The sequence below is a fragment of the Homo sapiens genome, chromosome 8 (genome assembly GCF_000001405.40).
Source record: "Homo sapiens chromosome 8, GRCh38.p14 Primary Assembly".
Classification (NCBI taxonomy): Eukaryota; Metazoa; Chordata; class Mammalia; order Primates; family Hominidae; genus Homo; species Homo sapiens.
The window spans coordinates 99,381,092-99,397,732 of NC_000008.11; the positions used below are offsets into that span (position 1 = coordinate 99,381,092).

At 34.7% G+C, this 16,641-nt stretch overlaps 1 protein-coding gene across 2 annotated transcripts in view; it reads left to right on the forward strand.

The window, feature by feature from the left end:
• The window catches only part of VPS13B (vacuolar protein sorting 13 homolog B), an 864,307-nt gene that overhangs the window by 367,818 nt on the left and 479,848 nt on the right, over nucleotides 1-16,641 (forward strand). For both annotated transcript variants that reach the window (NM_152564.5, NM_017890.5), the window contains exons 20-21: nucleotides 3,117-3,226; nucleotides 10,466-10,613. In NM_152564.5, coding sequence (NP_689777.3) covers nucleotides 3,117-3,226; nucleotides 10,466-10,613 — 258 coding nt within the window. The remainder of the gene's footprint in view (nucleotides 1-3,116; nucleotides 3,227-10,465; nucleotides 10,614-16,641) is intronic.

Consider the following 16,641-nt stretch of genomic DNA (forward strand, 5'->3'; position numbering starts at 1 on the left):
TCTCCTCTATGTGTCCATGTGTTCTCATCATTTAGCTGCCACTAATAAGTGAGAACATGTGGTATTTTGTTTTCTGTTCCTGCATTAGTTTGCTAAGGATAATGGCCTCCAGCTTTATCCATGTTCCTGCAAAGGACATGATCTTGTTCTTTTTTATGGCTGCATAGTATTCCATTGTGTATATGTAACACATTTCCATTATCCAGTCTGCCATTGATGGGCATTTAGGTTGATTCCATGTCTTTGCTATTGTGAATAGTGCTGTGGGGAACATACGTTTGCATGTGTCTTTACGGTAGAATCATTTATATGGTTTTGGGTATATACCTTGTAATGGGGTGGCTGGGTTGAATTGCAGTTCTGTTTTTAGCTCTTTGAGGAATCGCCACACTGTTTTCCACAATGGTTGAACTAATTTACACTTCCACCAACAGTGTATAAGTATTGCCTTTTCACCACAATCTCGCCAACATCTGTTATTTTTTGACGTTTTAATAATAGCTGTTCTATCTGGTGTGAGATGGCATCTCATTGTGGTTTTGATTTGCATTTCTCTAATGATCAATGATGTTGAGTTTTTTTTCATATGCTTGTTGGCCATATGTATATCTTCTTTTGAAAATTGTCTGTTCATGTCCTTTGCCCACTTTTCAATGGACTTGCTTTTTTTTTTCTTGTAGATTTCTTTATGTTCCTTATAGATGCTGGATATTAGATCTTGGTCAGATGCAGAGTTTGCAAAAATTTTCTCCCATTCTGGCATTTTCTCCCATGCCATTCCCATTATGGCATTGTCATCATGAAATCTTTGCCTGTTCCTGTGTCCAGAATGATTATCTACATTGTCTTCTAGGACTTTTATAGTTTTGAGTTTTTATTTAAGTCTTTGATCCATCTTGGGTTGATTTTTGTATATGGTCTAAGGAAGAGGTCCAGTTTCAATTATTTGCTTATGGTTAGCCAATTCCAGCACCATTTATTGCGTAGGGAATCCTTTTCCCCATTGCCTGTTTTTTTCAGGTTTGTTGAAGATAAGATAGTTGTAGGTGTGTGGTCTTTTTTCTTGGCTGTCTATTCTGTTCCATTGGTTTATGTGTCTGCTTTTGTAAAGGTGTCATGCTGTTTTGGTTACTATAGTCTTGTAGTATAGATTGAAATTGGGTAATGTGATGCCTCCAGCTTTGTTCTTTTAGCTTAGGATTGCCTTGACTACTCAAGCTCTTTTTTCATTTCATATGAATTTTTAAATAGTTTTTTCTAGTTCTGTGAAGAGTGTCATTGGTAGTTTGATAGGAACAGCATTGAATCTGTAAATTGCTTTGGACAGAATGGCCCTTTTAATGATATTGATTCGTCCTATCCATGAGCATGGAATGTTTTTCCATTTGTTTCTGTCATCTCTTTGAGCATGTTTTATAGTTCTCATTGTAGGGATCTTTCACCTCCCTGGTTAACTGTCTTCCTAAGAATTTGATTCTTTTTTTGGCAAATGTGAATGGATTGCATTCCTGATTTGGCTCTCAACTTGACAGTTGTTAGTGTATAGGAATGCTAATGATTTTTGTATGTTGAATTTGTATCCTAAGACTTCACTGAAGTTCCTTATCAGCTTAAGGAGTTTTTAGGCCAAAACTATGGTATTTTCTAGATACATATTTTCATGTTGTCTGCAAAGATAGTTTGGCTTTCTCTCTTCCTATCTGGATAGCCTTTATTTCTTTCTCTTTCCTGATTGCTCTGGCCAGGATTTCCAGTACTGTGTCTGATAGCAGTGGTGAGAGAGGGCATCTTGTTTTGTGCCAGTTTTCAAGGGGAATGCATCAGCTTTTCCCCATTCAGTATGATGGCATATTTCCTATATGCTACGGGTTTGGCTGATAACAAAATTGACAAATATCCCTTCCCTTATGTTTCATATATCCTAGTGGAGCTAATAATATTTGTATTAAAATATATGTACAATTACAGAAACTTATTTACAGATGTATATAACCCGCACATAAATTGAGAATTGTATACTCTGCTTTAGGTAAGTTCTATTCGAACTACTTTTCATCAGAAAGGGACAAAAATAGGTTAGTTAGTTGGTTGGAATTGCAGCCTGTTACACTTCCGCTTTGTGTTTTATGTCAGAATGTTGGCCTGCATTTAATCTAGGCTGCCCTTTCTCTTTGCTTTTGAACATTAAAAGTTGTAATTTTTAATGATTTTTTGAATGATTATAATACCTTCTTTCAAATCATGAATCAATTTTTTAATATAATGAAAAAGTTATTTAGGAATATTTTACCTAAAGTATTCCATTTTCAGGGCCAATATAAAAATTGTTCTTTGCCTAAAAAGTTGAGCTTATTATTATATTTTATGGACAAATGTACTTTTAATGAGATGTAATTCACTTTCTATACAATTATTTTATATTGTGTGATTCAATGTTTTATAGTATATTCACCAGGTTGTACAATCATTTTCTAATTTCAGAATATTTTTATCACTCTCAAACCACATAGCTCTTAGCAGTTATTTCTACTCTCCCCTCTCACAGGCCCTGGTAACCACAAATCTACTTTTTGTCTCTATGTTTTTGCCTCTTCTGGCAATTTCATATAAGTGGAATTCTAAAATATATGTTTTCTTTGTCAGGCTTATTTCACTTAATATAATGTTTTCGAGATTCATCAGTGCTGTAGCATGTATCAGTACTTCATTTCTTTTTATGGATAAATACTTTTCCATTGTTTGGAAATACCACATTTTGTTTATTCATCAACTCATGGAAATTTATATTGATTTCACTTTTTGGCTGTTACGAATTATGCTGATATGAGCATTTGAATACAAGTTTTTGTGTGGGCATAAGTTTTCGGTGCCCACATTTCCTCAAAAAGACATATAGTTGCAGTATGACCCAGTTATGCCATAGTATTTTCCAAAGTGGGTGTACCAGTTTACATTCCTACCAGCAATGTATCAGGGTTTGCATTCCTCCACATCCTTTCCAACGCTTGTTACTGTTTGTCTGTTATGTCATAGCTATCCTACATGGTGTAAAGTGACAAATAGCTTATTGTTTTTTATGAGGACTTATGTAACAGTTTAAAAATCTTGTCTTTTAGGTGCTGTACTTCTTTGCAGTATACAAGGACTAGCAGTTAATATTGACCCAATCTTATATACGTGGCTCATCTATCAGCCTCAGAAACGAACAAGTAGACATATGCAACAGGTAAGAGATTTTTAAATAATTTTTTCTGTTAACAAATATTTTTCTTATTCATTTAGTAGAATTATATATGTCTTTTGATGGATTCTTTTTTAACAAATGTACTAGATTTCCTTTGTCTCCCCACCTTACCCCTTTCAAACAATTCCGTTCCCTTATTTTTGTATGAGAAATTGCATGTCAGTATAAAGTTTCTTTGATTATTAAAGGGGCTTTCTGTACAATGGCTTACAAAACAGAAACTAGTTTAGGAGTCCTATTTCACCAGTCTTCATTCTTTCATAGTGTCTACATGTCCATTCTCATGGTGTGCAATACATAAGAATTGCTCAGTAAATGAATGTTGGCTTGTTTGTTTTGTTTTGAGACACAGTTTCACTCTGCCTCCCAGGCTGAAGTGCAGTGGCGTGATCTCGGCCCACTCCCTGGTTCAAGTGATTCTCTCGGGACTACCTCCCGAGTTCAAGTGATTCTTGTGCCTCATCCTCCCAAGTAGCTGGGATTACAGGCATGTGCCACCATGCCCAGCTAATTTTTGTATTTTTAGTAGAGACAGGGTTTCACCTGTTGGCCAGGCTGGTCTTGAACTCCTGACCTCAAGTGATGTACCCACCTCAGCCTCCCAAAATGCTGGGATTGCAGGTATGAGCCACAGCGTCTGACCAGCTTTTATTTTTATCTCTACATTTCCTTGTCATATTTAGGTTTTTTCAACAAACATGCATCGAATACCTAATCCTGGGATTGGGATGGTTGGTGCAAAAAAGGTTGGAATATGTGTTTGTTTAAAAAGGTATAAATTAGAAAGTAGTAAGTAGGCAATTATAGTTTCTAGAATACTTAAACATAATTCTGACAGTTTTATTATTTTCGTTTTAAAGATGAAGAAACTGATGCTTATTGAGATTCATTTATGTATAGTCACACAGCTTTAAGTAAATGACAGAACTAAGAATTTTTGAGGCCAAATTCGTGCTTTATTGAATTATAATTTCCCATCAACTTAAGTATAATTTTGCAATATCCTATTTGGAATAGTTTTGTATCGTTTTTCTGAAGTAACTTCAAGCTAGTTGATGGGAGAAGAATACACAATTTTATAATTATGTAAGAATTAAAAAGTTTAACAAAAAAGTACTAAGGAGCACCTTTTAAAGGTTTTTCTTCACTTTGTCCTAATTTTATTTGAAACTTCTGCCATACCTGTCCCCATTTTTCCTTTTAATGAGTAGTTACAGAATATAAGGCAGTATGCTGTACACCATGGCCACAGAAATAAAAGTCATAGGTGAGAATATCCCTCCCTCTGAGAGTATTTAGTGTATTTGAGAATCTTAAGGGATATAGTAATGCCATTTTTAGTAATTAACTATGTAGATGTATGTCCAGGATTATGTGAAAACAAGAGGAATAGTTCTCACAACCAGGGTAGTGTGTGAAAAGGAGGAATTAACAACTAAGCTGAGTATTCTAGGAGTGAGACAGACAGAGAAGGTTGTTTTAGACTGAACTGTTTGAGCAAAGGCAAAGAAGATGCAAAAGCATGACAAGAAAGAGACTTCAGTGATTCCAGAATGGAGTCAAGTGTGTTCTTGTAGAGACTAGGAGAAATTGGAAACCAATTTCTGAAAAAAAATTTTGAATTTGTAGTCCTAGGTATTTGAGACTTCATTTTGAAGGGTAAAGAGGAGCTATAGGAAATTGGTATAAACAGAGCTGGATTTTAGAAAGTTTACTCTAGCAGAATATAGAGAATGGGTGATACAGAAGTTAGACTAATGGCAGTAACCAGTTGGGAATAATTTTCATTGTAAATTCTTGATTGGTTATTCTCTAAGTAATACAGTTATTTCCAGTGTACCATAGATATCCCTGAAGGTCAAGTAGAGTGTTCTAGCAGCTTAAGTAAATTAGACATTCATTTAATTGATACCAAGCATATTAAAATATTTTGATTTTTAACTTTTTAAAAAATTATAACTTTTAAAATGAACATACAATCACGTGCCCCTTAATGATGGGGATACATTCTGAGAAATGCATCATTAGGCAATTTTGTTGTTGTGCAAACATCATAGAGTGTACTTATACAAACCTAGATGGTATGACCTGCTAGACATCTGGGCTATAATCCATCTCTGGTATAGCCTATTGCTCCTAGGGTACAAACCTGTACAGAGTATTACTGTACTGAATACCTTAGGCAATTGTAACACAAAGGTAAGTATTTGTATATCTAAACATAGAAAAGGTATAGTAAAAATATGCCATTATAATCTTATGGAACCACCATCGTGTATGCAATCCATTGTTGACTGAAACATTGTTATGTGGCACATAATTATAGGTATATTTTTCGAATTCAGAAATAATGGCTTTATTTAGAAGCTAAACTACTTGCAATACCAATACTTTGGGAGGCAAGGTGGGAGAATTGCTTGAGCCCAGGAGTTCAAGACCAGCCTGGGGAACATAGCGAGACTCTGTCTTTACAGAAAATAAAAATTAGCTCTGCGTGGTGGTGCAGGCCTATAGTCCCAGCTACACTGGAGGCTAAAGCAGGAGGATTGTTTGTGCCTGGGAGGTGGAGGCTGCAGTGAACAATGATCACACCACTGTACTCCAGCCTGGGCAAAAGGGCGAGACCCCATCTCTAAAAATAATAAGAATAAAAGGTAAACTAACAAATACCATAACCCCACTCATTCAGAGTTACAAATAATGTTGGAGTATATGTCTCCATACCTAAATCTTTGCATTCATCTTTATTGACTTGGAATATATTTTTACAAGTGTAATTAGTAGCACTAGGCAAGTATTTTGCATTTTAGAAACATATTTTAAGACTTTTGTTGTATCACCAAATTGCTTCCAAAATGGGTATAAAATTTGCATTTTCTTTTTCCTTTTTCTTTTTTTTCCACACAGGTTCTTGCTCTGTTGCCCAGGCTGAAGTGCAGTGCTGTGATCACAGGTCACTGCAGCCTTAACTTCGTGGGCTCAAGTGATCCTCTTTTCTAAGCCTCCTGAGTAGCAGGGACCACAGGCACCCACCACCATGCCTGGCTAATTAAAAAACAATTTTTTTTGTAGAGGTGGTGTCTCACTATATTGCCCCGGCTCGTCTAAAACTCCTAGGTTCAAGTCATCTACCCACCTAAGCCTCCCAAAGTGCTGAGATTACAGGCATGAACCCCATGTCCAGCCCAGTTTACATTTTGAACAGCAGTTGATAGCATTGTTATTTTACTACAGTTTGGCATACTTAAAAATATACTTTAAAAAATGTTCTTAATCTACTATTTTACTCTTGAATGTTCCCCCTGCCCCACCCCACCATGGAAAATCGAGAGAATTGCATAGTTGAGCCATATGTTTCCATACCCAGGTTCAATATTTATTAAGTCATGACCACTCATCCTTTTAAAATCTGTTAGGTGAAAAAAAAATGCCGATATACAAGTATTGGTGAAAATGTAGAGAATGATTACTATTGTTGTGAGTGAAAATTTGATAAATTTGTCAGTATCTAATAAAATTGAAAATTAGCCAACTTATAACCCCAAACTTTTACTTCTTGATGTAGGTATGCTCTTAGAGTGAAATTCATAAAAGTAAGGAATACTGTGTAAGCCTGCTGTTGTGTAATCATTACAATAATGTGAAAATTTGAAAACCTAAATGAAAATTTGTAAGAAGGTTGATAAAGTATGAAATATTCACAGGATATAACATTTATTAAAAATTATACAATAGACCTTAGTATGGATGTCTCAAAAATTGTAGTTGATGCAAAAGCAATTTCCCAATGATGTATGCAATATGAGGGCACTTATATATATTTTTCTAAAACTGCCCTTAATGTGTGTCTGTAAGTGAATGCAGGTGTAAAAATTAAGTTGAAGCATTTGTACTAATATCATAATAATGGTTGACTCTGGGAGGAAAGGGCAGTAGGTTGGCACTCAAAGGGGATTTTAGTTTTATCTATAATATTTTTTTAAAAAAGCAAATATGATAAACTGTTAATAGCCATTAATTATTGGTCATAATAGGTATGTTGTATTCTTTGTAACCCTCTAGTATTTTTTTAATTTGTTAAATTAATAATTAGTGAAAGATGGTTACGTTTTATAGGATGCAGCTATGAAAAGCTTTAGGTATTTTGGGATTATGGGACATTTTTGGGTTAAAGATAGAACAGATCTGAGACTAGATTGCAACTGAAATTTGAGAAGAGCTACAGTACCAGAAGGAAAAAGAATATACACAGGGTAATAGGAGGTTGTTAAAAATAAATACTACTTATTTTGATGTTTTTGACCAAGGTAGCCATATTTCTAGAATAGTGGAGGAAATCACTGGTCTTACTCCTTATTTGGTATCACTTAATGCCTGACATGCAGCATCTTTATTAGCAGTCATTCAACAAATATAGGTATTTTGTATACAGCTGTGTACAAGGCATACAAGAGCCTTACTCTTGTGTTAGAAAGTGGTTTTGTTTGGCCTTGGCCTTTTAATTCTTGCCTGTGTGAAAATACACTCAGAGTTGACTGGGCACAGTGGCTCACGCCTATAATCCCAGCACTTTGGGAAGCTGAGGCAGGTGGATCATGAGGTCAGGAGTTAAAGATCAGCCTGGCTAAGATGGTGAAACCCTATCTCTAATAAAAATACAAACGTTAGCTGGGCGCAGTGGCAGGTGCCTGTAATCCCAGCTACTAGGGAGGCTGAGGCAGGAGAATCGCTTGAACCCGGAGGGCAGATGTTGCAGTGAACCAAGATTGCACCACTGCACTCCAGCCTGGGTGACAGAGCGAGACTCTGTCTCAAAAAGAAAAAAAAAAGATACACTCAGAGCTTTAGCTGCCCAAAGGTATTTTTTGTTTGTTGTTTAGTATTGTCAGTACCACGAAAATTTATTGGATCTATAAAATTTTATATGGATTTATAAAACTTTGTGCTTTCATTAGTTGCATCTTTCAGCTATTGTGCTTGAATTTACACTGTATAGCACATAAATTTTCTCTAGTTACTTATTATATAGTTGACCCTAGAAACAATGCAAGGGCTAGGGACACCAACTCCCTGCTTGGTCAAAAACCCGTGTATACCTTTTGAGTCCCCCTAAACTTAGCTAATAGCCTACTGTTGATCAGAGACCTTAATGATAACATAAATAGTTAATTAACACATATTTTATATATGTGCTATATATGTTATTCTTACATTAAAGTAGATAAAAGAAAATGTTATTAAGAAAACCATAAGGAAGACAAAATACTATATAGGACGAAAGTAGATCATTCTTGAAGGTCTTCATGTTGAATAGTAGACTGAGGAGGAGGAAGAGGAGGGGTTCGTCTTGTCTCAGAAGTGGCAGAGGTGGAAGAAAATCCACATGTAAGTGAACTTATGTGGTTCAAACTTATATTATTCAAGGGCCAAGTGTATATTAATTTTAATCCTGAACTTGGTTGTACCTTTTTAGAGTTTGGATTGTATTCCAGGAATATAAATGGACAAAAATTCAAAGGATTATGGAGTCACTAAATATTAGAGTATAAGAGGTTTTCTAGTCCACCCCCCCTCCTTATGTTTTAGATGAGGAAATTTAAATGCATCAAAACTTAACAATATAAGGAGCATATCTCATCTAGGTCTTAAAAATGGTTTCCAATTTAGATTTGTGTATTATCAGTTTGACTAAATACCAAATATAAAAGCAGGCACTCTATGTTATGATGCTTTCGATAATTTATTTAATCTTTTCTCATTTTAAATTTTTTTTTTTTTTTGAGATGGAGTCTCACTCTGTTGCCCAGGCTGTAGTGCAGTGGCATGATCTCGGCTCACTGCAAGCTCTGCCTCCTGGGTTCAAGCCATTCTCCTGCCTCAGCCTCCCGAGTAGCTGGGACTACAGGCACCCGCCACCATGCCTGGCTGATTTTTTGTTTTTGTATTTTTAGTAGAGACGGGGTTTCACCATGTTAGCCAGGATGGTCTCGATCTCCTGACCTTGTGATCCGTCCGCCTCAGCCTCCCAAGTGCTGGGATTACAGGCGTGAGCCACCGCACCCAGCCTCTAATTTCTTTTCCTTTTTTTTACTCAGTGTGACTAGCAACTTGTAAAATAATATGCCCTTTTCCATGTTTCAGAACATGATTGATTTTATTACATAGTTATATAATAAACATGTTTTCATTGAAATACTTTTTTATAATGTACATTATATTGAGTATTTTAAGTTGGGTGAGGCTTAAGGTTGGATCTATAAAACTTTGGTTGTGGTACTGAAGATAACCTTAGACTACACTGCAGCCTGACCAACCGCCACCAGATTCACCATCTGATACAGCTGTGTTACAGTTATCATCTGTTGTTTCCAAAGCTAAAATTTCCTTCTCAAACTGTGGCTAAAACGCAACGTTTGATGATTGTTTTCCACCCACTTCAGCATTTATCTTTGATCCTATGGCAAACTTAAAACTTTTTTTGCCAATAATATGACAAAATTGTATTGGGCATCATCATCAGTAACATCAGACTTTATTTCAGTGAATAAAGATGAAACAGCTGCTTTATTGTCCAGCTCAGCCCTCATGCATTCAATAGAGGATCATAATATTTTCCAGCTTTCTCTAACTAGTTATTTTTCTGTGCTTTCTGAATATGCTATGGATATCTTTTGTCAGACAAAACGTAGAGATTTTCAGTATTCTTCAAAAAAGTTGGACTATCCATATTAACATGTACATAATCAGTTTGTAAAAGTATGTTTCTAAAAACATAAGGATTTTTTTTATAAGGATCCATTTTATAAGGATAACTTTATAAGGATACTTTTCCATTTTTTGAAAACATAATTTTCAAAGTGAATTTTAATTTTAACTTGCTCTTTCCATATTATTTTAATACTTCTTACTAAAACTTACATTTTCTGGGTACTTACAGGCTCTTTGGTTTTCACTCAGAATTTTAATTTAAAATTTAAGTGGATAAGCATTGCTCTGTGTGTGCATGTGTGTCTGTGTCTGTGTGTGTGTGAGAGAGAGAGAAAAAAAAAAGCGGGGCTGTGGGGACAGATGAGGGAGGGAGAGATTGATTGATTTACAATAATGAAGTCTCAGCCCCAACTTGTGAAGGACTGTCCTCAGTATTGCCATGTTTAACCTTTGCTGCTTAAGAAATAGTGAAAAACTAAAAACTAAAAAGGTTTTCATTTTGTCTCTTTCCAGCAGCCTGTGGTAGCTGTTCCTCTTGTTATGCCAGTTTGTAGAAGGAAAGAGGATGAGGTGTCTATTGGAAGTGCCCCCTTGGCAAAGCAGCAATCATATCAGGCCTCTGAATATGCCAGCAGCCCTGTAAAAACAAAAACGGTAACAGGTATGTGTCAAGTACTGTAAAGGGACTATGATTGTACTCTACTTCTAAGCTAGCAAGTTAGCATCCACAATTTCATGGATGCTGGCCAAAGACATGAGACTCATTGAGTGGAGACAAAGAACTTTATTATCCACAACATTAGCAATAATCACAGTATTAGCATTTTTTTGTGTTAGTGCCCTGAGCCCAGTTTCCATAAGGTGGCATGAAGAGGGCCAAGAATTCTGAATTTAGGGAACTTGAACCTTTTATAATGGATAGAAAGCATGCCTGCCCTATTCTCCAGAGGGAGGCGCTGTGTCTCCTTTGCAAGGGTGTGAGCCCACTTGCCCTTTGCACAGAAGCAGGATCGTATTTCTATCTTCTGAGACTGTTCGCTATGCAAATATCCTTAAAAACACAGTAGGGAACAATGACAATCACCACCTCTACTTAAAAGACCCATAGAGAATTATCTCTCAATAGTATGTTCCTTCTTTAAGTGAATTCTTGAAAACGACAGTACACCTTAATCATCTTTCCTCCCCTTTCTCTCATACTCTCTGCTAGATCTTCTATGTAAATATAAAGTATAACTATCCTTCTATAAAATAATTTATTTCCTTTTGTGTAATAAAAAGAATTTTACATATATAATTCATCAATATATAATTAAAAAAATAATTTTTATGATTTTATTTTGTGATTTGTTTTTTCTTCTTAACCTCTAATTTTTATGATGATTGGCTACTTTTCTTTGGGTAATTTTATGTCTTTTCTTTAGCTTTATTTCTTATAACGCAGATATTCCCAACCACATTGATAAAGATTTTATAGTTTCAGTAAATCAGAACCATCTATCAAGTCTGTTATGGGCAAGACTCTGTTCTAAGTGAAATTGAGGGCAGAAATATTAAGAAGATCCCTACCCTTAAAGAATTTAAAATATAATCATATATGCAAGGAAATTCAAATTAGCTATTGTAGTATTTAAGTCGTATTTAACAACCAAAATGCTAAAATAAATTTGTTTATGGTATTTTATACATAAGTATTATTATTTTGTGCTTTATGATTTTTCCTAAAATATGACATTAATTATGTTTATTTTGTGGAATCATTAGTCTTCCACCTGTCCATAGCCACAAGCCTTTTACTTTGTTGAGATTTTATCAATTGACAAAAATGCCTGTGCCTCATTTTGTATCACAAAAAGATTATATAGTTTGTGTTGAGTTTTGATTATAAAATTAAATATTCTTTCCTTTAAATGTCATGTTAAGTTTAAGAGTTAGAGTTTAGGTTTTACATAAAGGTTTATAATTGAGCTGTTAATTTACATAAAGGTTTATAAACATCACCTTTTAGTTAAGAAAATAAATGTCCATTAGTGAAAAAAAAATGGTAAGAATTACCTTACATGCATGTAAACCATATATTTAAAATAATGGTTAAGGATAATTAACGGTGACAGAAAATGCTTATAATGTAAATGAAAATAGATGATATAGAACTATTTAGAATATGCAATCACAGATTTTGAAATGCATCTGTATATGCGTGGAAAAGTTTATATGTAAACTCATACCAATCACATATCAATTCATAAATGATATCAGTTGATCTGATAATTATTTTGCCTTCTTTATTATACTTTATGTTTTTATAAGAAATTAATAATTGTTAGTGAGGGAAAATAAGCTGAAAACATAATTTCTCATCATTAATTACTTTATAAAATATGAAAACATAAACAACACATTTTTTAAATTTTAAATTATTAATCTGAACTATGGTTCTTTTCTTTAGAATTAAGGATAATTGCATTTTATGTCTTTGGTGTTCCCCCACCTTTAGAACCATCAGATATCCTATAGATATTCTTCTTATAGATAAGGACATTATTATTTCACCAAATGTATATTCTTACTCAAGCTTGCATAAAAATTAATAGGCATCCAACTAATGCTTGTGATTGCCCTGTTTGGTGACTGTGAGCAGTCACCAAAGGTAAAAGGCCTTGAGTATAACATTTATTGTTTATGAATTCTATTTCTTTCCCTTTGGGTGCCCACTATTTTTAATTCTCTGGGGAACTTGGCAGTGGTACTCTTCTTGATAATACTCTGTCCTAAACATTTTCTTTACCTAGAATTATGTTTTAACACTTTGTTTTATTTTTAATTAAAGGATACAGTCTTCTTTTTTAGAATAAAAATATATTTTATGATTTCTTAGAGTGAGTACATACATCTAAATGTAGTTATCAATCACTGTTTTAATTATTATTTATATTGCATCATAAATTATAATGAGTTTGTTAAGGTATTCATAGTCTTTTGCACATCTGCCTACCTTTTTTGGTTGTTGGTTTTTGTTTGTTTTTTAACCATCTTAGCCATTTTCAGTAGCATTAGGTATAAATCAGTAGCATTAGGTATAATCACATTGTTGTAAAATACACATTTTATTTTTTAACTACATGTTACAGTGGAGAAATGTTAATGTTCATTTTATTTCTGAGTTCTTATTAAAATTATTTTTTAAATTTATATCATCACAGCCTATGGTCCAATGTTGATTTTAAGTTCATCCCCAACAAGTTATATATAGTGGTTTTGACACATGAATACAAAGACCTGCTGATACTGCACTGGGTTTGATTTTGCTTTTTAATTATTCAGTTAGAAGCAGACCTTTTCCTCTTCCAAACTCAGCCAATGTTAAGTGGCTGGCTACAGGGGGACCTGTGCTTGATGGCTCGGAATGTGTTAACAGCAGAATGCCACTATTTCAATGATATAGTCATGTAGGGCAGACTGAGCCAGAATAAAAACTTGCTGTTCCACATGAAGATAATCTATTATCACAGAATTCTAAATAATCTTCCAGAGAATCTGTATATCCTTCAAAACAATGAAACCCCTAAGAGCTATGCCATTTGTTTACCCTAGGTTTTGAAATGTTATAAACCTTAATTTGGAATTCTTGATGAAAATGTCTGTGATGGAGATGAAAACTTAACAAGCAGAATACTCCATAAATGATACTTAAGAGATATAAACCATTTTATCTTACAAGTTTATATATTACTTCTCACGTCAACATAATAAATACAGTTAAAATAATAGAAGCCTTTTAAATTTAAGACACCTTGACTATTGCTAAGATAGTAATAAATGAAGACATGTGATAATGATGTAGATTTGGTAGATAATACTATAAATTCAAAATATAGAACTTTAGCTTCTGGCCATGATAGAGTAACAGGGTTTAGATTTATATTCCTGCTGTAAACAACTAACAAACTGGATAAAATATATGGGGAAAATTCCCCAGTTTCTGGACATTGGACAATAGGCAGTGCAGGAGTGTGATTCCTCATAGAAAGGAAACAAAGGTGAGTCCTAGGATTTCCCTAGCTTTCTGCCTCAAGGCAAGTTTCTGAATACAGGGCAGAATAGGACATCTCAAACTGAGCTCAGCAGTCTTTCTGAGTTGTAGAGACAGGAACTGAAGTTAAGGGAGGCAGAGATGACTAGAAATTATGGAATAAAATTCCAGAGATGAAGAAAGCTATGCAGAGAAAGAGCCCCTGGGAGCAACAATAGAGTTCTTGAGAGTTTGCTGAATAGCAAGACATGAATGCATGGCGATGAGACCTCACAGGGTTTGGCAAGGAATAACCTCGGAGCTACGATCTTAATGATTCCCATCCTTACACAGGGTGGAAGGCATTGAAGTTCCTACTGTCCATCATATATAATTCTCATTGGTTATTTAGGACATTCAGTGGAGACCAGAAGGTCTAGGCCTCAGTAGTGGGGCTAAACTATCTATAGAGTAAAGGCTACCCTAGACTCACCTTAAACAAGCTTGTAAATCAGCCTCTGAAGGAAACAAAATAGTGAGTAACTGTTACTGTTAAAAGGAATACAATACTATTGTAGCCCAACATCATTAAAAGGAATACAATAAGATGGAGACATACAACAACTTAAATATAACAGTTGCAAACATTCAATAAAAAATTACTAGAGGTGCAAAGGAGTGAGAACTACAAACAGGAGAGAAACTAGCCAATAGAAATAGGCTGAGAAATGACACCAATGATAGAATTAGCAGGTATATTAAATACCTATATGTTAAAACAGGTGTCATAACTACGTTGAGGTATTTACAAGAAGTTGGACACATTGAGGAGAGAAATTGAAAATATATAAAGAGCCAAACTCAATTCTACAGATGAAAAATAAAATATCTGAAATAAAAAAATTTAGTGGAATTAGATGTTGAGTAGTAGATATTGCAAGAAAAAGAAATTAATTAACTTGAAGACATAGTGATGGAAACATGCCAAAATGAAGCACAAAGAGAATAAAGGAAAATAAATGTACAGAGCCTTATCGAACCGTGGGATGATAATTAATTATGGTTGTGAGGGTAGGGCTCACTGAAAGTTCACATTTGACCAGATACTTGAAGCAGGAGAGGGAGTGAGCCATGTAGACATCTGTGGATAAATGATTTGGAATTATCTATGTATCTGTATCTATATGTATACATATATATATATTTAGAAATAAATGATACACTGTAACCCTTTCATTTTATAATTAAGACTATTGAGTCACAAAGAGGTCAAGCAACTTATCCAAAGTTAAAAAGATATTTATTGAGACTTTTTAAAAATTGAAATTGCCAGACTATAGGAAGAGATCAAGCAACTTATCCGAGGTTAAAAAGATATTTAATGAGACTTTTTAAAAATTGAAACTGCCAGAGTATAGGCACTTTGCGATTATTTCCTTCTTCCACTCTGAATATTTCCTGCTTTCTTTCTTTCATGGCATTGGCAGTCCTGCAAATCAGGTCTGTGCAAATTTTGTCATCTACTATTTCATCTCTAATACCTAATATATAGCCAGCCAACTTCAGTGTGTTTTTTTTTGCTAAGGAATTACTCTAAATTTGCAGCCCTGTCCCGTGGCACTAAGATAGTGAAAGATTTTGCATCAGAGTTACCAAGATAGATACTACTGGGAAGCACCTTTTATGATCGTGTTTCATAATGGCATTGATGGTTCCACCTTTCTTTATTTGAGTGCCACTTCACTGATGCACAGTTAAGTTCCTGGATGAGACTCAAAAGTGAAACACTACTGTTGGTATATATTTTTTGGCCTTGATATATCCTTAAATATATTCCAGAATACTAAGGCTTCTACCAAAATGAAAAAAAAAATGATCCTTCAGATGTTTCCATTTTTATCAGGCATATGGAAAATCTATCTTTTATGCCTAGGTCTCCAAGAGAAGTAAATATGAAAAATCTTGAAATCTTAAAAAGTACATTGTTTATATTACAGATAATAAAAGGCTTTAGATTATTGTTACTTGTTTTTAAAGAATCTGTCTTTGGAGAATCATCTTTGGTTATTGAGTAGAATATTTCTTCTTTATTTATTTATTTATTTTTTGAGACGGAGTCTCACTCTGTCGCCCAGGCTGGAGTGCAGTGACGTGATCTTGGCTCACTGCAACCTCCACCTCCTGAGTTCAAAAGATTCTCCTGCCTCAGCCTCTTGAGTAGCTGGGACTACAGGCACGTGCCACATGCCCAGCTAATTTTTGTATTTTTAGTAGAGACGGGGTTTCACCGTGTTGGCCAGGATGGTCTCGATCTCTTGACCTCGTGATCTGCCCGCCTCGGCGTTCCAAAGTGCTGGGATTACAGGTGTGAGCCACCACATCTGGCCTGAGTAGAATATTTCTAATTACATTTTTTTGCTGACCTCATTTCAAGGTGTAATATTTTAAATTTATGCCGAAGTTTAATAATATATTGTTTAGGCTTAAGTTTGGCTGAAAATATCAGACTACTCTAAATAACAGTGCTTTAAACAAGATCCAATTTTGTCTCTCATTAGAAAGTTTAAGCACGCACCCTAAAGCTATTATGATCTTTCAAGATCAGGAAGCTTTTTATTCTACTTTGAGTGGCCTTCATTGCCAGGCTTTCCTCATGGTTCATGATGGTGGCTTCAGC